Source organism: Homo sapiens, chromosome 15 (assembly GCF_000001405.40).
Source record: "Homo sapiens chromosome 15, GRCh38.p14 Primary Assembly".
Taxonomy (NCBI): Eukaryota; Metazoa; Chordata; class Mammalia; order Primates; family Hominidae; genus Homo; species Homo sapiens.
The window spans coordinates 42,042,043-42,066,904 of record NC_000015.10 but is presented as its reverse complement, the minus strand read 5'-3'; the positions used below and the strand labels follow the sequence as shown (position 1 = coordinate 42,066,904).

General features: G+C 46.6%; 1 protein-coding gene and 1 long non-coding RNA gene across 2 annotated transcripts in view, besides 1 other annotated feature; one reads left to right on the top strand and one right to left on the bottom strand.

The window, feature by feature from the left end:
• The window catches only part of PLA2G4E (phospholipase A2 group IVE), a 69,122-nt gene continuing 60,461 nt past the window's right edge, over nucleotides 16,202–24,862 (top strand). The window contains exon 1 of the mRNA NM_001206670.1: nucleotides 16,202–16,384. Within this exon, the coding sequence (NP_001193599.1) occupies nucleotides 16,202–16,384 (183 nt within the window). The remainder of the gene's footprint in view (nucleotides 16,385–24,862) is intronic.
• Nucleotides 21,397–21,557: a silencer, noted in NCBI's record as "fragment chr15:42337546-42337706 (GRCh37/hg19 assembly coordinates)". NCBI's record gives its function as "represses an EF-1alpha promoter that drives an FKBP-Casp9 reporter gene in an ReSE screen in K562 erythroleukemia cells {active_cell/tissue: K562}" and the evidence as "EXISTENCE:reporter gene assay evidence [ECO:0000049][PMID:32094911]".
• Nucleotides 22,315–24,078, bottom strand: LOC105370793 (uncharacterized). The gene is made up of 3 exons (XR_932177.1): nucleotides 24,002–24,078; nucleotides 23,630–23,719; nucleotides 22,315–22,958 (listed from the first exon to the last, which is right to left on the bottom strand). It is a non-coding gene; the product is annotated as an uncharacterized LOC105370793 (long non-coding RNA).

Sequence of the window (24,862 nt, the reverse complement as noted above, 5' to 3'; positions counted from 1 at the left end):
GATGAAACTCAGGGTTGGGAAAGGAACAGAACAAAGCATCCTGTGACTCGTCTGCAGGTCCCTGGTGTCCGCCTGATGCACACAAACTTCACAGAGCACCTGTGTCAGGCAGGGTCACCGCGCCCCCGTGACGCAGCAGGACAGAATCAAGGCCACTCCATAAATATGCCTGAGCATGGACAAAAAATGAGGGCACTGTGAAACCATAAAAATGGCCAAACAGTGCCCTCTCCTGTTTCACGTGAGAGACTGCGGTTTCTCTACCAGGCTTTTCGTCCCTCCCGTTCTTCCACCTCCTGGATAAAAATTGTGAAGATCCTCAATTATAGACTCGCCCCACTCCCTGACAGCACCCAATCCACAGCAACACTTTGCTTCCTTGAACATTTCGTAATGTCACCCTACAAACGCCCAAATCCTTCAATAAGCACCCCCCCACCACACACACACACACACACACACACACACACACTTACTGAGACTGCACTGCCTCCTAGTATACAGTCTTCTTAGTGCAATGGGTACCAGTTAACTCAAATTTGTTTGGCTACTGGGCTGTTCCTGCTGGCCTCTGGCTGGTAGGCGTCCACAGGGATTAAGTAACTTGCTAACCTCAAAGGTGGCAAATCCAGGACTGGAGCTTCTGACAGCCACACCTCTCTGTGTCTTTGGGCACTGACTTTGTAACGTGCCCTATTCGTAGTTTAGAATTAACCTCACCAAAGAGAGGTCCAGTCTCTGCCCGTGGCTAGTGGGAGGTGACCTCTGGGTCCTGGAATGTCCTGTCTGACAGGAGTGTCTTTGTTTGCTGGGGGGCTTTGGAGACTAAAGGTCGGTCACACAGGCAGCATCTGATCAAGCCTCAGTAAAGTCTCTGGGCACCAAAGTCTCAGGTAGACTTTCCTGGTGGACAACACCCTGTGCGTATCCTCACACATTGCGGCCCAGAGGAGGCAATGCTGTCCAGAACCCCAAAGAGAGAGGACACCTCCCTGGAAGCTTGCAACTGGACCCCTCCCAGATTCTGCCCTAAGCCTCTCTTCCTTTGGCTGGTTTTAATTTGTATCTTTTCATGATCATAAAACTGTAATCATAAGGTTAGTGCTTTCCTGAGTTCTGTGAGTCACCCTAGAAAATTACTGAAGCTGAGGGTGGTTGTAAGCACCCCCAAATTTGCAGCCAGCTGGTCTGAAGTGAAGGTGGCCCTGGGGACTCTGAACTTGCGGCTGGTGGCTGAAGTTGGGGCAGTCTTGTGGGGACTGTTCCCTCGGACTGGACAGTTTGGTGACCTCTGCTGCAGAGGTCAGGCGTCCCAGAAGATGTGGTGGTCTGGAGGACTGTGCTCCCAACCTCAGGGTTTGGCCAACTGCCGGCACGGATGCTCTGGAGAGTGAGCCGGCATGGTAGAAAAAAAAAAAGACCCTTTCCATTTGGCGAACTTTCAATAAAGCCAGCCAGACAGCCAAGGAGAGTGGGCTGGGCTGAGGCTCAAAGCCACACCTGGCATGTGAGTGTGGATGTTTATCTGTCTCATATACCCGCCCCCCACTAGCTGCTGTCACCCCAGCCCCTGACTACCCAAACACCCGGAGGCCCTCTCAGCCCCACCCTGACCCGGGTGAGGACCGTGACTCCAGCAGCTGTCAGGCCCCCACACAAAGGCATCTATGTAAATCACACAGTGCTCTTCCTGCAGCCTGTGGGCCCTTCCTGGGGCCAGCTCAGAGACAGGAAGACAGCAGGCTGTCTGTCACCAGTCCCAGGACAAGGCTGGCGCTCTGCCCTCTGCTCACCACAGGCTGTGGCCGGGGGAAAGGCGAGCAAGATGAACTGAGAGATGCTCCCTTTTCCTCATCAAGTTGGATTTATCTCCACTATGCAAGAATGCTTTTATATTAGAAAATTTACAATTTTTAAAAACAATGTATAAACAAATGAGAACAACAATATAAAAGTAATTGCTTGATAAAATTCAACACAAACTCGGAAGTTATGAACAGCTCTTAATAAATTAGGGCATCTGCATAACCTGATGTAGGGTAACTGTACTGGTTCATTTTATGTGTCAAATTGGCTGCGCTACAGTGCCCAGAGATTTGGTTTAAAAGTATTCTAGGTGTTTCTGTGAAGGGAGGTGAGCGTTTAAATTGCTGGATTTGGGGCTGAATGCAGTGGCTCAAACCAGTAATCTCGGCACTTTGGGAGGCTGAGGGGAGAGGATCGCGTGAAGCCAGGAGTTCAAGACCAGAGTAGGCAATAAAGTGAGACCCTGTCTCTATAACAATAATAATAATTATAAATAAATTAGTGGATTTTGAGTAAAGTAGATTATCTTCCACCATGTGGGTTGGCCTCAACCAATCAGTTGAAGACCTTAATAGAACAAAAACGGACCTCCCCGCAGCAAGAAGGAATTCTGTTGGCAGAGTGCCATTGGACCCCAACTACAACTCCTCCCTCAGTCTCCAGCATGTCAACCTGCCCCATCAGACTCTGGACTCACCAAGCCTCCACCACGTTGAGCTAATTCCTTACAATACATGTCTTGGCTGGGTGCAGTGGCTCACGCCTATAATCCCAGTGCTTTGAGAGGCCAAGGTGGGTGGGTCACCTGAGGTCAGGAGTACAAGACCAGCCTGGCCAACATGGTGAAACCCTGTCTTTACTAAAAATACAAAAATTAGCCGGGCATGGTGGTGTGTGCCTGTAATCCCAGCTTGGGAGGCTGAGGCAGAAGAATTGCTTGAACCCGGGAGGTGGAGGTTGCAGTGAGCCGAGATTGCGCCATTGCACTCTAGCCTGGGTGACAACAGCAAAACTCCATTTCAAAAAACAAAAACAAAAACAAAATGTCTCTCTCTCGCTTCACTCACACACACACACACACACACACACACACACACACACTCTCTCTCTCTCTCTCTCTCTCTTTCTCGGTTCTGTTTCTCTGCAGAGCATTGACAAATACAGTATATATTTGATGAAAAAACAAAACCTGTCATCCTGAATAGTGAAGTGAAATCCTAGATTCATTTCCTTACAGCTAAGGAACAAGATCAGGATGCCCACTATCTCTGTTTCTTGACAATGGTTTTCTGGAGCTCAATCAGTTTCTGTGAGTCAGGAATTGAGGCATGACTTAACTGGCCATCTGCAATCAAGGTGTTGGCCAGGACTGACCTCGCCCCGAGGCTCAGCTGCGGAGGCATCTGTCTCCAGGCTCATGCATGTGGCTGCTGGCAGGGGTCAGCTCCTCGTGGGCCATGTGTCCCTAGGCCACCCTCCGTTCCTTGCCACATGGGCCTATCCACGGGGTGGTCACAATATGGCAGCTGGCTTCATTGATGTGAGCAAGCAAGAAGAACTCTGAGAGGAGGAAACAAAGGCCAAAATTCCGTAAGAGAGCAGGTTCAGGGGCTTAAGGAAGATGGAGATCCACAGAAGACTCTGAAGGCTGTGGCCTGAAAGGCCGGTGGTGGCGAGCATGATGAGGCGCTCTGGAGAGGCTCCCAGTATTGGCAGAGGGTGCGGTTTGAGGAGCTGTTGTCCTGTGTGCTACCTCTGAGAAGCCATGTTGTCAGCAAGAGGAATGAGCTCACAGAGGTGATCCCAGAAGTATGCACTCGACATTATAGTGGAAAGATCTGGAGGACTGGACAAGCTATGATGTTAAAGGGCACAGGAGTGGCAAGGAAGAGGGTGACAGGGCAGCCAGAGCCCACACAATCAGAGGTCAAGGTCAGATGGAATCTCAGGGACCTTTAGCTCTGCCATACTCATCAATGATGAAGACTTGGGCATTTGGGATGTGAAGTCTCTTATCCAAGGTCACACAGCAAGCCCAGGGCGCGTTGGACACTCACTTTTTGTTTGTTTTTTGTTAGAGACAGACTCTTACTCTATTGTCCAGGCTGGAGTGCAGTGGCATGATCATAGCTCACTGCAGCCTTGATCTCCTAGGTGCAAGTGATGCTCCTGCCTCAGCCTCCAGAGTACCTGGGACTACAGGTGTGCATTACCCCACCTAGCTAATTTTATTTTTTGTAGAGACAGGATCTCACTATTTTGCTCAGGTTGGTCTCAAATTCCTGGCCTCAAGCAATCTGCTCACCTTGGCTTCCTTGTGCTGGGATTACAGGTGTGAGCCACCACGCCTGTATGACACTTACTGTTTTGGGCCCGCTGTGGTCATTACCCTTCTTTTAGGAACAGTACCCCTATTTCCCTGGGAAGAAATCCCCTTGACTTCACTCTCAGCCCGAAAGCTTAGGGCAGTGGCTGACTGCACCCTAACTCGAGGGATGGACTGCGTTCCTCCGGCCACAGAGATTAGCACAGGGATGAGCAGGTGACCAGTGACACACCAGGAGGCTTTTTAAGGCTGCAGAGATGGATGCTCCCTCCCACTGGACTCAGACCTGGGCACTGCAGGCAGAAGTGACTGCCACTATCTGTTTCCGATGAGGGAAGAGTCTGTCCAAGGATGGAAGGAAAACGGGGGTGGCCAAGCCCTGTGACCGAGAGATCCACAGGGCTGTGTGGACAGTGCTTAGTCTAAGATTCAACCAGTCCCCTCTAAACTGCTCCATCATTCATCCCAATACAGTTCTCTCTACCCCACCTTTTTTTTTTTTTTTTTTTGCCTGATATCACTTGAGTTGAGCTTTTTGTCACTCATAATCCTGAATCCTACTTTAAAATACAGAAAAAGATTTTAATGGAGCAGAGAGTGTTGGGTTCAGAATTCTGGTCACAATGAAAACCAAACCAGAGGGCAGGCCATTGCCACTGAGCCATCAGTGAAGACTTTTCGGGTTAGATGGATACTGTAGAGTAATTTGTGCACACGTGCACCTGGAAACCTATGAAAGTGTTTGTGGTGGCACTGTTTGCATAGGGGAGTAGATCAATGAATGACCACACATTCAAACAGTGGAATGCTGTACAGCAAGGAAAAATAATGAACTACAGCTTCATATATTAACATGGATGAATCTCAAAAACACAATGTTGAGTGAAAAAAGAAAATAAGTATGATTGCATTTGCATCAGGACCCAGATATCTCAAACATAACAATACGTTATCAGCAATACATACGTATGTAGTAAACATATAACAAAAAGTGAAGAAATGATACGTTCAAGTGAGGAAATGGCAAAATTCAGATTCATTATCATTACAGGGAAGGTTATGATTAGAGGGATATACAAAAGCATTGGTAATCTTCTTCTTCTTTTGTTTTTTTTTTTAGACAGGGTCTCACTGTCACCCAGGCTAGAGTGCAGTAACATGATCTCAGCTCACTGAAACCTCTGCCTCCCAGGCTCAAGCGATCCTCCCACCTCAACCTTCCAAGTAGCTGGGATCACAGGTGCACACCACCCCCCACCATCTGCTAATTTTTGTATTTTTTTGTAGAGGTGGGGTGTTGCCATGTTGCCCAGGCCGGTTTCAAACTTTTGGCCTCCAGCGATTCTCCTGCCTTGGCCTCCCAAACCTGCTAGATTACAGGTGTGAACCACTATGACTGGTCAGTAATATTCTATTTTAAGCTGAAGGAGAGGAGGTTTGAGTACATTGGTATATATTTTGTTACTCTTCACATTTTATATATGAATGTGTGATATATATTCCTTTGTATTTATGAAGCATTTCATACTAAAAATAAGTAAGTCTTAGGATCAGAACTTGGGAGGCAGTTTGGCAGCTGAAGAAGCAAAGGGAATGGCAAGGGCTGTCATTTGTGGCGCACGACCTGTGGGCTGAATGCTTCCAAGCATCTGCATTTTCACATTGAATTTTCACAACAGCCACAGTGAGGTATGTGCTGTGCTAAGCGTTGGGTTCTGAGGTCAGGTTGGTGAAATAACCTGCTCAAGGCCACAGAGCCAGCAGGAGGTGGAGCCAGGATCTGAATCCAGGCCACCTGCCTGCAGAAGTCACATGCTGGACTACCCTACATGCTGCCAAGGACTGTTTTCACAGGCAGGACAAGCACCTGTTAATCCTCAATCCCAACGCAGAGCTCTGGTTTGCTGGATTGGCCAGTGCATCATAAGCCAGGAGGCCTAACGAGTTTCTCATCCTCTCACAGGATCTAGGACAGCTGAATCTGTGGTGCAATTTGGGCCTGACTTTCCCAAGATCCAGGGGGAAAGGCAGCTTGTTTGGAGCCAAGGGGGTTCCTGAGATGGGAGATTTTCAGTGCAAAAATGGAGAAGGTCCTGGGCAAAGTGGGGCAAGTTGGTTATTCTACCTGCCACCTGGTCATGAGCAGTCAAGGAGGGGCGGAGGACAGGCCAACCTGACACTGCCTGGGCACAGAAAGATGGGGAAGACACCCACATGAATCCCAGGCGCTAGTACAATGTGCCCCGAACAATGCCTTGGGCTTCTACTAGCAGAAAAACGACTTGTCCACCTGGGCGGTATGGACGAGGGAAGAGGAACTAGAAGTACGTGCCTCCCAGCAGAGAGCCACAGGAGAAAAAGTGAGCTCTTCTCTGACTCCAGCCCTCCTCGGGGTGGGGGCTGGTCTGTGGGAATGAACCTTGAGTGAGCGTGGAACAGCCAGGTGCCTCCAATCGCAGGGGGCAGAGGAGATCATGATTGTGGGAGAAGCCATCCTGGCTCCATTTACCTTGAGATGATTCCTGAACATCTGCAAGCCTCTGCTTCCTTGTCTCTAAAAGGTGACAACAATGGCCACTCCGCAGCACTGCTGGAGGGATGACGCTGAATACTGTATGTGAAGGGTGTGGCACGGTACCAGACACAGGAAGTACTTGATAAATGGTAGTTCTTTAAAAAATTTTTATCATTATTTTAGAGATGGACTTGTATCCTGATTAGATACAATGCCATGGAGATGGAGCACTTTTATTCACATAAATGATTACTGGTCTAAGTATAAATTATGTCCTGGGTTGTGACACTTGCTATAATGCCCGGTTTGAAAAACAGCAATTAACTTTTTCTGAGGTAAGATTGCAGTTCAGGTGGCTGCCACCAGGGGGCTGTGTTGCCAAGTGACGGTGTTGCCAGGACAATTAATTGCCTGGAGTAGTGGTCCCCAAGAGCACAGAGCATACTCGTCACTCCGTAAAACTTTCCACAAAATACGCTCTTATTTATAGAAGTCCTGCTATGTTGCTTAGGCTGGTCTTGAACTCTTGGGCTCAAGCAATTCTTCTGCCTAGCTTCCCAAAGTGATGGGATTACAAGCATGAACCACTGCGCTTGGCTGAAATAATGCTTTTAAACTCATGTGACAACCTTATATATTAATTAGCAGCCAGCATTTACACATATATTCAAAGAAGAACATGATTCAAAGCAAAATTCAAAGACATAAATGCCTAGGTAAAGTCTCTCACAGTACTGTCACAACCCAATGGCACTTGGGACTTTCCTCTTCACGGCCAGGGTGTCTATCAACAGTAAAATGGGCAAATAATGTTTGGAGTATTCATGCAATGGAATATTATGCAGCCGTGAAAACAAACACTCTGTATTACACACAGTATGGATGGGTTTCATAAACATAATGTTGAATGTAAGAAGCAAGGCATGGAAGAATAAAATATTGAACAGTTGCATTGGTATAAAGTGCCAAAACTGATCAAACTAATTACAGTAGCAGAAATCAGGATAGCATTTACCTTTGGAAGACAGGTGTGCCATGATTGGAAGGAAGCCAAGGAAGGTTTCTAGGATGCTGGTGACGTTCTGTTTCTCCATCAGGATGCTTGTTACATGGGTGTATTCAAAAGGGAAACTTAATGAAGCTGCACATTTTTTTTCTTTATGCAGTATACTTTCTATTTTATTTTTTAAAAGTGAGGCTAAAAAATGAGATTCTTGGCCGAGTGTGCTGGCTCATGCCTGTAATTCCAGCGCTGTGGGAGGCCAAAGCAGGTGGATCACTTGAACTGAGGAGTTTGAGGCTGCAGTGAACTATGACTGCATCACTGCACTCCAACCTGGGCAACAGAGTGAGACCTTGTCTCTAAAAAATATATATATATAAATAAATAAATAGAAATGAGATCCTTAAAGAAAATAATAAATGCTGATAACATCATCAGTGTTATCTCTGAAAGGTGAACTTAAAGGTATCTTACATTCTGCTATTTCTATACATATTTATTTTCTTTTTTAAAACAAATTTTAGATTCTGGGGGTACATGTACAGGTTTGGGGTTACATGGGTATATCGCATGGTACTGAGGTTTGGGCCCTACCCAAGTAGCGAACATAGTACCCAATAGGCAGTTTGTCCACCCTTCTCCCACTCTCTCCCTCCCCGCTTTTGGAATTCCCGGTGTTTATTTTTCCCATCTTTGTGTCTGCCACTTACAAGTAAGAACACGTAGTATTTAGTTTTCTGTTTCTGTGTTAATTCAATTAAGGTAACAGCCTCCAGCCTTATCCATGGTACTGCAAAGGACACGATTTTGTTCTTTTTTATGGCTGTGTAGTATTCCATGGTGTATATGCACCACATTTTCTTTAATCTACTTTTGATGGGTGCCTGGGTTGATTCTATGTCCTTGCTCTTGTGAATAAACACTGCACACTCATAATTCATGCAGTTTTCTGTGTATATGTCTAGTTTTAAGAGTTTACTAAAGAGAAAAAATCTGAGGGTGTCATCATCTGCATAGTGGAGCACAGCAACCTGTGATTTGTGCCTGCCAAGTAAGTGTTCCTGTCACTCTTCTCTGTTGACAACTCCTGTCCAGCAGCCCTAGGAGAGAGGGTGTGACCAGGACTGGCCTATCTCAGTGTGTCATCTCCTTGCCACTGGGGATTGCCTCGGGGGGCAGACACCTAACTTGAGCAAGCCCATCTGAGCCCTTCCCTATTAGAAAGATTCCTGTTGAAAAAATTTCTCCCTTGATGTTGGGGTGGCTGAGCCTGGGCTGCCAGGGGCTGTATCCCCACCACTGGAGGAGGGCTGTCTACAGAAAGAGAGAGTGAGGCCAGTGGGTGAAGGGGGACAGAGGAGACAAGGGCAGGACAAACAGCCCTGGCCGCTGCCAATCCCAGGTTCTGTTCTTCTCCAACTTCCCAGAATCTTCCTTGTGTCAAACCTGTGAGTTAGTTCGGCCTCTTGCCCAGCTAGGTGAGGCAGTAAATTGCTTTTTATGCCTCAGCTTGTTCAGTTTGGCTCCTACCTATGACTAAGAGAGTCTTGACTAATCCATTACGCAACTGGGTGGATGGCAGGGCCACTTACTGAAGCAGGTACGGCCAGCGGAGGTGGAGAAAGTGTAAGCTGTGCGAGCCACATCATCCGGGAAGGGGCGGTCGCTCCTCGACGTCAGGAGGATGTCACAACCCTGACGCGGGTGTTTTACATCATCTTTGTCTAGGCTGGGGTGATGACTAGCCCCCAAGGTCACGATACACACTCACTCCCTACTCTGGAGTTCACCTTGAGATTACATTCTTTCTCATTAGTGATCGAATTGACTTCTAAGTCTTGAAGCCTTCAGCCTTTGAGCTCAGACACATTCCTTTCCCTCCTGGACTTCTGCCATCAGCGATAACCAGGAAAGTCCCAGGGATGCTGATTAACATCCCGAGGAAAGGAAATGGGACAACCTCCCGTCTCCAAGACTTTCTGCGGACCCCTCACTGCTTTTTCTCAGGGCCACACGGTGTCAGTGCTGAGACACCGACAAGCCTATGGCGTCGGTGGTGCCCGGCTCCTGTCACGCAGCACTGGTGAGGACACACAGACTCCATGTCGCGCTGGACGATCCGGGTAGCCTGGCCACGCGCCCCCCAGCGTCTGCTGCCTGGCTTGCCCTTTCTCGCCCGGTCTCTGGGAATGAAACCGGGAGGGCTTTGCAGAGCACAACCCGCAGGCTCTGTGCCGGGGCAGGTGGCTTTGCTCACCCACCATCCTCAGGCACATCCCCCAAGGCCGGCCCTGCCAGGGTGGCAGCTCAAAGAGTTTCTGCACCGCATTAGCAGCTGCGCCAGGCCCCCCGCTACTTTTCTCTTCTTTCTGCATTCTGCCCCTGGAGTGGTGGAAATTCTAACTTGGGCCAAGCTCTATCCCCATTTCCGACTCTGTGACGAGGAACTCTTAAGACGGGTAGGGGAGGACAGAAAGGTGCTGAGTCCATCACCCTAATAGCGGATTCTGGAAGGAAAGTTAGGAAAATCCCTCCCCTCACCTTCATGGGATACAAAACAGTCAATATATCTTATTTTTGTAAAAACGATCATTGTTATAACGAGATCATTTTAGACGTTGCGAATATATCTATGATATTCCTATGAATCAGTCCTGGCATTCGCCTAGGTTACTGAAGCAACACTTTCTGTACTGGGCAATTGGGCAGAAAAGACACTAACATTAATTGTGCCCTACTATTTGGCAGGCGTTAGTTCTCGCACTTCTATAAAGTCGGTATCATTATTATCCCTGTTTTACCAAGGAAGAAACTAAGGCTCAGAAAGACTGGATAACTTGCCAATAATACTCTTAAGAGCTGTGGGAGCCCCACCCTCCCACAGCACCCCAGCACCTCCTGGGTGGGTGGGCACCATCCGTTTTTGAATCAGGAACCACTGGAGAGGCACTGAGCCTAGCCTCTCATGTCTTCCTGATGTCACCCAGTATGTCTTCCATGGACCTGGAAGGAGATACACCTGGATCCAGGGCTGAAGGTAATCAGCTCCTTTTGATAAAGCCCCATCTCCCTTTTGTAGAGCAAAATTAAATAGACTTTTGCTCCCTGAAACATAAGTGCAAGTGCCTTGGGCAGATCCTGCTTGTACCTAAGGGTGGTAGCAGCAGCTGCTGTCCCTGGGGTCTTGCCAGGCACGGTCTCTACTCCATGTCCTTTACAACCTGAACCAGTTCATTGAAGAGCCTCAGCTCACTCCGGGGGCAAACATGAAACAATTTTATTTTTTCTACTAACTGTCCCCAGCTATACTCTGTTAAATCCTCCTTTCTTGAATAGAGTCCTCCTAATGATATGAGACCATAACCATTATGATGGTCTCATACATTATCATGTGTAAACAACCTACATTAATTGCTATGTGTATTTTTTTGTATTTGTTAATTTTTTTTTCTTATTCAATTCCTAAAATGGAAGATCTACAGGTGGGTAGAACGCTCACTAAGTAAGTCCTCAGCTTCCAAAACCTAGAGGCACACTATTACCCTACACATTTAGTTAAATGTGCCCAGAGCCAATCTGGACATTTTAATTTAGGCCCCAGTGGGATGGTTCTTCCCATGTGGCTTCAGATCTCTGGTGTGTCCAACAGCCCCTTTCCCTATGTGATCTCCCCACTCTTCTTCCCGTGAAGGGCCTCTCTTATTGGAGAAAATCTTTCCTTATTAAAGATCCTGCCCCTGGAAACTAAGGATGTTTTTTGTTTGTTTTTTTTCTATCTGTAGGCTTTCCCACATTTTAAACAACTATTTTAATGTAACAAAGCTTCCTGACATTTTAACCATACCATGGAAAATGCCTTTTCTTTATGTTTTCTTTTTGCAATAAAAAATAAAAACAAATAATCAGTCCTTTATCCAATGCAATGAACATTACTTTTGTGAATAACCAATGCAAAATGAAACCAACCAAAATTTCACATGATAAACTTTTAGAGAACCACATCTTAAGAATAAAAAAATTGTCCTGGCAAAAATTAGACTTGTAAAGAGATAGCGGCCACAAAGAAAAGGTAAAACCCATCATAAAGGGTATGATTTCATGGTGTGTGGAAAAGACTTGGTCCCAACGAAGATAAGCAGCAAAACTGGAAATTGCTAAGTATTATTCTATTAAAAATAATCAAGAAGATCAAGAAATTAAATTGGCTTAATTGAATTTGCTCCAGAAAATACATTTTTCTCTTTTTCTTTTCTTTAAACTTATGTATACAGCCCACTTTTACCCACCAGATTCTATTCTACTCCCTATTCTACATCTTAGGTATTTTTCATAAAACGTTTTCTAGATAAGACTTTATTAAATTAGGATACTTCTCATAAAAGCATTTAAGCTTAACAGAATGAAGTTAAAATTTCCCCAGGGATGTAAAAAAGGGAGAAGCTCAAACATATACACATCAAAGCCACACATCAGAGCCCAACATTCCAGTCCTCACTGTAGCCTTCTCAGCTTGTTCTGTTTTTCACCATTAAAAGCTGTCGTTACTGGTCAGGTGCGGTGGCTCACGCCTGTGATCCCAACACTTTGGGAGGTGCAGGCAGGCGGATCACTTGAGGTCAGGAGTTCGAGACCAGCTTGGCCAACATGGCAAAACCCCATCTCTACTAAAAATATAAAAATGTGCCTGTAATCCCAGCTACTCGGGATCCTGAGGTAGGAGAATCTCTGGCACCTGGAGGTTGCAGTGAGTTGAGATCATGCCACTGTACTCCAGCCTGGGTGACACAGTGAGACTATGTCTCCAAAAAAAAAAGAAAAAAGCTGTCATTACTTCTGCAAATCTTTCCAGGCCTTGCCTTGCTTTTCTTTCTTTCCTCTGTCTCCTCCTTCCCTCCCTCCTTTTCTCCTTTCCATTTTCCCTTAACTAAATGTGTAGGGTAATAGTGTGCCTCTAGGTTTTGGAAGCTGAGGACTTACTTAGTGAGCGTTCTATCCACCTGTAGATCTTCCATTTTAGGAATTGAATAAGAAAAAAAAACTAACAAATACAAAAAATACACATAGTCCTGTGGAGCCTATTCTAGGAGTGGCCAACTGTGGGGCCACCCAGGGCCTGGCTGGGCAGGGAAGTGGGGAATTTGGCAGGACCAGTGGCCAGGTGCCCTTGAGGGATTCCGGGCACATGGTGCTCAGTGCAAGAATGTTTGTTGGAGCTGTTATTTCAGCTGAGGTTAAAATTCTTTGTTTGGCTTTTATTTTTAATTTGTAGGAGGTGAATTTTACAGGAGACTAAGCTCAACAAGGCCTGGAGACATCCCCTAGAAACATTTTAAAAGGATAAACATTCAGATACTCCCTGACACCAATCTGGAAATGACATGAGGGCTCGTCTCTGCTCCTGCCCCTGTGCCCAAGTCTAATTTTTTTTTTGCCAGATTGCTTTTTTTATCCCCAAGATATGATTCTTTCAAAGTTTACCATGTGAAATGTGAGCTGGTGTTGGTTTTATTTTGCATTGATTATTCACAAAAGTAATTCTCACTGGAAACTGGATAAAGAACTGATAATTTGTGTTTTTTTCAATTGCACAATAAACCATCACCTATCAATATTTAGTCTAATCCAGGTCTCCCTCTCAAATTCTAAAAGTTTACCTCGAATCAGAAGTTATTCTGGGTCTTACACATAACTTTCTCTTTGACTTCAAGGAAGCTTGACTTCAGAGCCCCCTCCCCTGGCACTAAGTTCCTGAGGGTCTGCAGAGAGGGTCCCCTTTCTCACCCTGTCTGCCTGTCTATCTGTCACCATAGTTCCTGGCTTGGAGAAGTCCTGGAGTCAGACCACGGGAGAGAAAAATAACCCAAGCAACAGGAGGGTCTTCAAGGGCAGGAAGAAAGAACAGGAGAGAGGATGTCCCAAGAACAGGGAAAGGAAGCCTGGCTCCTCCCTGCCTGGGCCCCACACACAGTCTACCAGCGAAGCTGCCCTCTCTGCTCACTCTCCAGCGTGCTACCACCTCCACACTCATCCTGGCTCTCAGCCCTGGCCACCACCAGCTGCTCCAGGTCAGATCCCACTGGTCAGCTGCCTCAAAGCAGCGTCCATTCTGGGTCTCACCTGCACAGTGGGGTGGGCAGAGCTATGAGGAAGAGACCTCTTCCAGGTGCCCCCCAGATGCCCCGGACAGGGCAGAGACCTCTGAGTGGCAGTGCCTGGGCATCCTTTCACCTTGACTAAGCACAAAACACATCTACCAAAAGAAATCTTGAACGACCCCATTCTGATCTCTGTATTTATTTTTTAAATTACAATCAAGGTAAGATGTAGAAAAATGAGAATACCGAGGTACACTTGGTTATTCCACTCACTAATCCTCACTAGTTTTCCATTATAGCTTGACCTTCGTATATTTTCTTTTGTGGCTACTATTGCTTAGCAAGTCTAATTTTGTTTTTTTGTTTGTTTGTTTGTTTTTGGGTTTTTTTTTTTTTTTTGCCAGGTTGGTTTTTTATCCCCAAGATACGATTCTTTCAAAGTTTACCACGTGAAATATTAGCTGGTGTTGGTTTTATTTTGCACCGATTATTCACGAACGTAATTCTCACTGGAAACTGGATAAAGAACTGATAATTTGTGTTTTTTTTAATTGCACAATAAACCATCACCTATCAATATTTAGTCTAATCCAGGTCTCCCTCTCACATTCTAAAACTTCACCTTGAATCAGAAATTATTCTGGGTCTTAACACATAACTTTCTCTTTGACTTCAAGGAAGCTTGATTTCAAACACCTTTGTATCTACATATCTCCATCCACATAACTTTTTTTCTTCCAATGTCAAGCTTCCTTTCTCCCTTGTGGCAAAATAAAAAGTAAAATATTATAGCCATGTCTGGCATCTGCACACTCCCTCCATGAAGAGTTGCCTTTTCCCCAGTCACTTGCCGGCACTGGCTTCTAGTAAAGACCTCCAGAACAAGGCCCCTAAGAAATGGAAAACGTAAACCAACAAGCTTTGTAAACTGTGAAATGTGGTGCAGGGAAGAGATCTGGCAACTCTTCAAGTCAATTCCAAACTGATATTTTTACAATGCATTTTCCATTTATTTTATTTCAAAGTTTACTTTTTATTGTTTTATTCCAAACTGCCTTTGCTTTGTAAGGGAACCAAGTGTGTGCTTGACGAATGTCAACTCCTTTTATCCTTATTAGCACTGCCATTCAAGCTATTTTTTCCTATATAGCACAAACGGAAAAATGACACTTTATAACCGTCTCCTACCCAAACACATGACTGGTCAGTCTAAGTGTGGGTCTGGCTGTTGCTTGGTTTATTGATTGATTGAGACAGGGTCTTGTTCTGTAGCCCAGGCTGGAGTGCAGAGGCACAATCTCAGCTCACTGCAACTTCAACCTCTTGGGCTCAAGCGATCCTCTCACCTCAGCCTCCCAAGTAGCTGGGACTACAGGCACGCATCGCCATGCCCAGCTAATTTTTGTGTTTTTAGTAGAGTCAGGATTTCGCTAAGTTGCCCAGACTGGTCTCAAAGTCCTGGGTTCAAGCGATCCACTCGCCGTGGCCTCCCAAAGTGCTGGGATTATAGGCATGAGCCACTGCACCCAGCCTGTTGCTTCATTTCTGATAGGGCTATTTGGGCCAGAGACACCCACTGGAAAACCACAGCCTCAGAAAGAGAGGGGGACAGCGGGATACTCCCAACTAGAGAGGATGCTGGGTGCCTCAGAGCCAGCACACAGAAAGACAGGAAGATGAACATTTCAAATGTATGTTAAAAACAGTTGTAAACAGAACATAAAGAAGCGTTCTTAATTTTTTTTTAATTTTTGTTTTTAACATGGAACTAGGACACATCCCCGTTAAGCTGCCAGATATGGCATCTATTAAACCAAAGAGAGCCAGAGTAAATGATTAAATTCTATTCTGGCCTGTGGCCCCACCATCAGCTCTGAACACAAGGCTAGGTATTTATTTTCAGGGGTTAAAATAGAGATCTGGGGGTGTCAGGCAAGACCCAAATGAGTGGCTTCACCCACCCAGGAAAGTGAGGCTCCTTCAGGGGCCTGGATGGCCTCAGCCATTTCACCCCCAGCCCTCTCTCCCTCCCTCTCCCACTGACATATTGAGTTTCGCACTTTAAAAATAGCTCTGCAGCACTAAGAAGCTTTCTCTGAGCGTGGATCCCAGCCCTGAAACGCAGGCCTCCCTTGACGGAGAACTGTCCTATGTGAGCATAATGCTAGCTCCCTGCTTGTCTTTCAGGCAGCGCAAGAAATTTCTCTCCACAAAATAGGTCCAGATGGTTTGAAATATTCACAGAGATAGACGTGGGGCTCCTTTAGTTAAGCCCTGGCTTCCTTCAGCTCCTTAATAATTCATCCTGGCTTAGCTTCAGGAGGAGTCTGGTGGCACTGCTTCCCTTTCACACAAAACTCCCTTGAAATTACCCCAGGAGGCTCCAACAACACCTTACTTTGAGGACCAGCCTCAGCTCCACACAGCCCGTCCTGAGTCCCAGAGAGGAGGCTGGGATGAGTCTCCAGGCCTCGGAAGGCTGTCCTGGCCTGGGAACTAATGTGTTTGTCCCACAGAGCCCACAAACGGATGAAGAAGGCAGCAGGTCAGGAAGAAGTTTCAGTGAGTTCGAGGATACACAGGACCTGGACACTCCTGGTCTCCCACCTTTCTGTCCTATGGCTCCTTGGGGCTCTGAGGTATGTCTGTGTTCCTGGGAGGGGGGTCTGGTCCCTTAAATTTTAACCTCACTTTCCTGACTCGGAATAAGATCACCTGCATTGCTGCAGAGTTAAGAGGTTGTGGTTTTTGTTCATTTCTTTCTCTCCGGAGGAGTCCCTTTACCCTGCTGCCATCACCTATCTGTCCTTACCTCCCTCTGTGCTCAAAAGAACTGTTAACAACAGTGGTGACCTTTTATCAAGTGCATTCTATGCACTGATATTGCTAGGCAGGAATCAGTATCTGCATTTGATGAAGAAACTGAAGCACAGACAGGTCAAGGAACCTGCCCAAGGCCACATAGCTAGTTTCATGGGCACCTGAGATGGAAGATATTTGTCAACACGATGCTGAGAAGAGTGAACAAGACCATGCATGTGAAGCCCCTGGCAGAGTGCCTGTCACATAGGCTCTCGAACCATGCAGTCTAGCATAGTGGCCTGGCAGGGTCGTAAGTGTAATTCCATGCGAGTCAGAGAGAGTTGGAGGGAACACATAGATCTGGCTTACCTCGCAAACCCCACCTATGAGCAAATACGCAATTCCCATCTGGTAAATTGAGTGGGCTACAGAAATCAAACAGCATCTGAAGGTAATTATCAGGTGATCCAGGTCTGCCTCGTGCAGTTTCTCCTCTGGGCGGGCGTGTGAGCTTCTGGGAGGCTCTCAGTGATTTGGGGAGGTGACAGCATTCCTCTGCCCCTCTGGCTGCTATGGTCTTAGCGGTGGCACCAGACTGAGCTCTGCAGGGAGTGAGCCTCGCTTCCTCCTGCCAGCCGAGGCCTGGCTTACAGGGAGAACTGGCCAAGATCCCCTCACCTCCTATGGACCCCTCTGGTCTCTGCCTCCTTCTATCTGGCCCCTGGCTTGGAGGGTCCATCCTGAGCCCCAACCACGGAGTCACCTTGTCTGGATCCAGAAGGTCCCACTTCATACCTACCACAGCATCCATCACACAGGTAACTGAGGGCTGCTTGGGGATGACCCGGTCCTCCATATTGGGGGACCATCCTCCATACTGGGGGAGTATGTCCCCCAGCATTCATGTGTTGGAAACTTAATCCCCAATGCAACAGTGTTGAGACGTGGGACCCTTAGGAGGGGATTTGGTCATGAGGCCGCTGCCCGCATGGATGAATTCATGTCATGATCATGGGAGTGAGTAACTGAGAGAGTGAGATTGTTATAAAAGTGAGTTCAGCCTCCATCCCTTAACCCAGGTGGACTGGAGGCTCGGGCCTCTGCTGGTGGCACTTCCCAGAGTCACATGTGAAGAGGGGTCAAGAGCCCCGCCCCAGGGTTTCCCTTGATGTCTCTGCCCCACACTATCCCACCATTCCCACAAGAGCTCATCTTCTGCAGTCTCCCTGTCTCCGGTGAGCAGGTGCTTCTCCCCTTCCTCTTCCTGACTCTGCCTCCGTTCTAGAAGTCTCTGTGTCTCATCGGCTAGGCCTGCTGTTGATACGCTGGAGGGGGATGGGAACTGGGGCGAGCTGTCTCCCCTGCTGTCTTGCTAACGAGGTTAATGGCCTGCCCTTGCCTGCCCTGGCATCTTCAGCCTCCTGACTCACACCTAGAAGTGGCAGCTGAAAGGTTTTGGGAGCAACGAAAACATAATGGCTTAATATTTGTGAAATTATTGGCCTCATTCAAGTGGTGAAGAGCACGGGCTCTGGAGTTATACCAGCTTCAATCCCTTGCTCTGTCATTTGCCAGCCCTGTAACCTCAGACAAGCTCCTTAGCCTCTTTGAACTTCAGTTTCTCCCTCTATGGGGAAAATGATGTGCGGAGTAAACAACATGTTTAGCACAGTGCCTGCGGCATATGAAGTTGGAGCAATGCGGCTCGCTGTCATTGTTATCACTATGACTTTACCGTGATTTCTCCCCTCCGCCCCGTCATCCCCATGCCTGTCACAGTGCACATATGAGGCTGTACCCATGGCCCCCTGGTCTTTCTCCAGCTGCTTGAGGGGGAGCAGAAAGGCCCACATGACTGGGACACAGACGACCACAAAAAGACATTGTATTTAATTTTAATATTTTAATTTTGATATGTGTAAAGTAATTTCTAAAAATGTTTGGAAAACATAAAGGGCCAATCCACTATAATCCCATTAACCCAATACGATAACTACAGTCATGTGTTGCTTAACAACAGGGACATGTTCTGAGAAATGCATCATTAGGCAATTTCATCATTTTGCAAACATCACAGAGTGTGTGCACACAAACCTAGGTAGCATAGCTCACTACACACCTAGGTTATATGGTGTAGCCTTTTGCTCCTAGGCTGCAAACCTGTACAGCCTGTTACTGTACTGAACACTGTAGGCAATTGTAACACAGTAAGTATTTGCATACCTAAATGTATCTAAATATAGAGAGGCTACAGTAAAAAAAGTATATTCTGATCTTACAGGACCACCATCATATATGTGGTCCATTGTTAACCAAACCGTCATTATGCAGAGCATAACAATATGGCATAATATTTATACCATATCTATGCCCGGGAGGGGGGTTAGCCTAAAATTATAGTCATTAATATTTTCTATCTTGCTACCTAAACTTCGTATCATTTTAGTGGCTAAATAATATTCTATTGTGCATATGTATGCAACAAAATTTATTAGGATTTTTGTGATGAAATGTCAGTTTTTATAGGTGTTTTATTTTTGCAAATTTCCATGGAATTTCTCAGAGACTGGCCAATTGGTCATTCCCTGAGACCTTTGTGAAATATCTGAACATGATAAAAAGAGTCACCACCAGCTCTGCAAGAGGGTGTGTATATATGTATGAATGGGGGACATGTAGGCTTGGGGAATGTGTGCACACTGGGTAACAGTGGAATCTTCGATTACTTACGTGGCAGATTTGGGGGAACTGCAAGGACCCACCGCTATGGTCTGAATATGCCCCCCAAAGGTCATGTGTTGGAAACTTAATCCCTAACGCAACACTGTTGAGAGGTGGGACATTTGGGAGGGGATTCGGTCATGAGGCTGCTGCCCTCATGGATGAATTCATGTCGTTTTCATGGGAGTCACTGAGAGTGGGATTGTTATAAAAGTGAGTTCTGCACCCTGTTGCTCTCTCTTGTGCTCTCTTGCCCTTCTGCCCTCCACCATGGAATGACACAGCAAGAAGGCCCTTGCCAGATGTGGACCCCTTGACCTTAGACTTCCCAGCCTCTGGAGCTATAAGAAATAATCTCTGTTCTTGGTCAGGTGCTGTGGGTCACACCCATTATCCCAGCATTTTGAGAGGCCAAGACAGGATCATCACTTGAGGTCAGGAGTTCAGCCTGGTCAACATAGTGACACCCCACCTCTACCTGCCAAAAACATATTTTAAAGAAATAGATTTCTGTTCTTTATAAATTACCCAGTCTCAGATATTCTGTTATAGTAGCATAAAATGGACTGAGACACTCACCAGTCTTCAAATAGCTCCTCATCTGCCCTCCATTTTGGTCCTTGAAGGATTCCCTCCAGGACCACCCCTATGGATCAGGCCTTCCTCTTTTCTGGGGCCAGTTGGAGGCTCCCATTACTGAGTAGCATATTGTCATCCAGTAACCCTAAAGCAAATATCAGCTTATCAGATTACCTTTGAATCACCGCATCTCCTGCCCTGTGGAGGAGTTACCATCTCCTGCCCTGTGTTCTTAGATAACTTCTCATGTGGCTTGTCACACTCCCTCAAGAAGACCTGGGACCACATCCAAAGCATTTTTTCATTCATTGAACAAATATTTACTGAGCTCCCACTATGCACCTAGTATTGTTCTAGGAGTGGGAGAGAGAGCACTGAGCAGGTCAGACAAGATCCAGCTCTCACGAAACTTACATTTCAATGTGGGAGACAGTAAATAAATATCTGACTATTTCTGATATTGGTGCTATTAGGACAAAATGTGACAGCGAGTGACAGGCAGCAGGGAGGGGACATCAGAAGAGGGTGACATTTGAACTAAGATCCGAATGATGAGAAGATTGATGGCAAGTATTCCAGAAAGAGCACATTCTAAGTGCAAAGGCCCTGAGGTGGACACAAGGTTGACCTTTTGTAGAAACAGGGAGAAAACCAGGGTGACTGGAGAGCAGAGAGCAGGGAAAGCAAGGAAGAAAGCATTGGGAGGTGAAGTCCGGGCCTTATGGACCGGATGCTGCGGAAAGCAGCTTTGATTTTGTTCCAAAAGACAGGGGGAGCCCATGGAGGGCTTTAACCTGAGGACTGACTTGATCTGTTTTATGTTTTACCTGCATCACTTTGTCTGTTTTGTGGAGCATGGATTTCCTGGGGGCCAGAGGGGAAGTGCGGGCCAAGTGAGAAGGCATTTGCTGTGGTCCAGAGAGAAATGGAGGTGGCTTGGTTAGGGGTGGTAGCATTGGACAGTAGGAGTGGATGGATTCTGGGTTTCCTGGAGGTCGAATTTACAGGACTTGGGACACACTGGATATGGAAGGAGGAATCACAGATGCCTAGTGAGTTTTTGCCTTAGTAACTGAGAGATGCCCCTTACTCAGCTAGGATAGAATTGGTTGGGGTGGAGCGGTCTGGGTGCCTCTGTCTTTGGCATTTTAAACTTGAGATTCACATCTAAGCAGAGATGTCAGGTGGGCCGTTGAAAATACAAGTCTGGAACTCAGGAGACAAGTTGAGGAGGAAATCTGTTTGAAATCATAAAGCAGAATGTAGAAGGTTTTTAAGCCATGGAGCTGGATGACATCTCTAAAGGATAAAGAGACAGAAGCGAAGGGGAAGAAGTCTGTGCTCTCCCGTTTTCCACCTTTCAGATGCCCGGCAAGGATGAAGAGCCATCAGAGTAGATGCAAAGCAGCAGGCAGTGAGGCTGGAAGCAACCCATGAGAAAGTGGTGTCCTGGGAGCCAAGAGACTTTTTCCATAAACATCCCGTTATCTTTCTGAGCACAGAGCAGGTGGTCAGTAAATACTCTCAGAAAGCACAAGCTCTGCAGCTGCTTGTTCATGCCTTTTCATCCCCCGGCACTGCCGTGGAGTGCCGGTGCTGCCTGGGTGGCTGGCTGCTGGCCTGGGAACCTAACAGCTCCCTACTATCTCTTGCATCTCATGAGAGGCAGAGGCCTCCGCCCACTCCAGGGGCCCCACCCCACCCCATCCTCCCGGTTTCACACTCTTGGCCCCCAGCTCATGCCCTTCCCTCTCAGCAGGGCTTGCCCTACTCTGTGCCACCCACGTGGAGTGAGGCAAGCTCATTCCTACTTCTTTCCCCAGTTCTGCTACCTCCCATCGTAGAGGGTCTCCCTTCCCCAGCTGCCACCTTTCCAAACCTTGCCCCTAACTCAAGGCTCAGCCCCCTGAGACTCCCCACCGGCCTCCACGTGGGATCTTGACAGCCTCCCCTTCAAGACCAGCCCTGTGTACCTTCACCTGCTGGGTCACTGGAGCCCACTGGATGCCCTCATATCTAATCTATCCTGCCGGGTCACTGAAGCCCACTGGATGCCCTCATATCTAATCTATCACCATGCCGTGTAGGTTCTGCTCAGAAATACCTCTCGAGTCCACCACTGCTTCCATCTCTGCCCCCTACCCGGGCCCAAGTGACCATTTGCTTCCCATCTGAGCCACTACAACACATCTTCCTGTCCCTGTCCTGCCCAATTCTGTCCCCACCCAGCAGCCAGATGATCTCATTCACATCACTTCCTTTCTTTTTTTTTTATTATACTTTAAGTTTTAGGGTACATGTGCACAACATGCAGGTTTGTTACATATGTATACACGTGCCACGTTGGTGTGCTGCACTCATTAACTCATCATTTAGCATTAGGTATATCTCCTAATGCTATCCCTCCCCCCTCCCCCCATCCCACAACAGGCCCCAGTGTGTGATGTTCCCCACCCTGTGTCCAAGTGTTCTCATTGTTCAGTTCTCACCTGTGAGTGAGAACATGCGGTGTTTGGTTTTTTGTCCTTGCTTAATACCCTTCGGTGGCATCCAGTTTCTTAAGATAAAATCCCAAATCTTGACCATGGCTTCCAAGGCCTCTCTGACCTCATCACTCCTTCCTCACCGTGCCCCAGACACAGGTGCTCAGTTTCTGAACACGCCAGCCTTTTCCACTCCTCAACGCCTTGCACTGCTGTACCTTCAGCCTGGGGGACTCTCCCCACAGCCCGCATGTAGCTAACCCCGATTTTCCTACAGGTTTCAGCTTCAAGGCTGCTTCCTCTGGGAGGTCATCCCTGACGTCTCCCCAAATCAGAATCCGTTCCCGTCTTTCGTAGCACCCTGTTACTTTCCTTCCTGATTCTTATCGCAGTTGATGGTTAGAAATTATTTTCTTTCAAAGCTACTTCACTAGAAGCTTCCCAAGAGCAGGCACCATGTTGATTTTGATACTCGGAACCTGTAGCACAGTGCCTAGCATTTAGGAGGTGCTCAAATGTCTCTGTCATCAGTGAACAAAGCTTTCACTGACTTCTCCAGCCCATGCCAACCTTGAGGTTCTTTGCGGTCCAAGTACACTTACGGTTAGTTCTTTCCAATTTATTTGTCCTGTAGCAAAAAGAATAACAGTAACCATGACAATTTATTAAGGTTTATGACATGCCAGATTCTGTGTGCCAGATGTATATGTACGGTGTTTATGTATATATAATATATAATCTTTACAACAATCCTGTGAAATCAGTACTATTAACTCCATTTTACAGATGAGGAAAGTGAACAGTGAGTTTCAGAGAGATAAAGTAATTGCTGACTGCTGCCCCAGTAAGTGCCAGAGCCAAGATACGCACTCGGGTCTCTCTAACTCTAGATCTCCTGCTCTTTCCTCTACATTTGTCTTATGGGTCTTGCCTGTGAACTTCTGTTGTTGTTGTAAGCTTTTTGTCACTGGCCTCTTTGGTTTGTGGTTGTTTTTTTTTTTTTTTTTTTTGTATCCTCCATCACCATGCTCCCTAAATACCTACCATTTGTGAGGATGTGTCTATTAGCAGGTGAGAGCCACCCAGGACAAGAGACTCCATGTTCGCATCAGACTTGCCCCACGAGATGAGTTTCAGGGCTGGTTCTGAGAAAGGCCGAGTGGATGGCCACCCACAGGTCCTGACCTACGGGTGCCCACAGGCCCACCTTCCTCACATATTTCCCTCACTAGGCCAGGCTGGCCCTTCCCTGTTCCCTCCTCCCTGCCTAGTAAAGTTCCCACCGTCAGAGCCACCTACCTCTTAGGCAACAAAGGTGGGCCTGGCCTCCGGAAGGCCTCTCCCACATGCTTCCAGCAGCTGACAGGGTGAGCAAGCTGTCTTCTGAATCTGGGGCATGGTGGGATGGAGAGTAACAGACTCTCAAAACTGGAACAGATCATTAGGTTTCCAGAGCCACCCCCGCTTGCCCAGTGTAGGAGTCTCCTCTGCACCTTCCAGGCAGGAACCCCTTGCATAATTCTAAGAATGGAAGCTTATTACCTTCCAAGTGACTAAGTTCTTTCTTACACCAAGGTCAAATCTACCCACTCAGAAAGGCCCTATTTCCACCATCAGGTCAGGCACAATATCAGTCTAACCCTTTCTGGTGCTTGACTGCCCTTTTCATACCTGAAGTTGCCTTCCTTGCTCTATAGTTTCAAGCCCCTGCTGGCCTGGGCTCCAGTATCTGCTTCAGTCACATTTTCAGTGAGCCACGGCTCTGCCCCCTTCCTTGCCCAATGAGTGGATGTTTCACCCAAGGCAAAGAGAAGGATCTGGTTGGTGGGCAGATGGCCAGCTGCTTAGTAGAAGGAAGAAAGGGCTTCCCAGCTCTTGAGAAAAAATTCCTTCCCTGGGTGGGTTTGCCTGACCCCACCTCAAGCTACACCTCCTGCTACTCCCAGAGGATGGCCATGGGAGAAGATACTTTTAACAGAGCTGACATATATAAATATCTGGTATGGTGGCCTGGGACATGGTAGGCATGAAATAAATGTTAGCTTTCTTTCCCTGTCTCTAAATGCATTTTTTGCTTTATTTAAAGAGCAACTTTATTTATAATAATGTTCTTTTTACAAAATTGTTCTTCTGATTATAAATAATATATGTATTCAGTATAGACATTACAAAATTTGAAAAATGTAATAGAGAAAATAAACATTGCCAATAACATCATCCAGAAATAACTTCCTGAACCCTTAATATACTTCCTTCCAGTCTTTTTTATAGGCACATATATTTAGAAATAAATTTTCTTTATATATACGTATATTGATATATGTAAAATTAAGCTCGTATTGTAAAACTTGTCATTTCTACATATCAGTGAATAGTGATTAATTTTTCTCTGCTATTAAAAACCAGATTTTTGAAAATGGCTACATAACATAACATCATATCATCTAGGTTGTTTCCAATTTCTGATGCTATGACCATTTGGAGTGTGCTATGAACACCCAAAAGCCTAGAAAATGTCATTGATATGCAAAT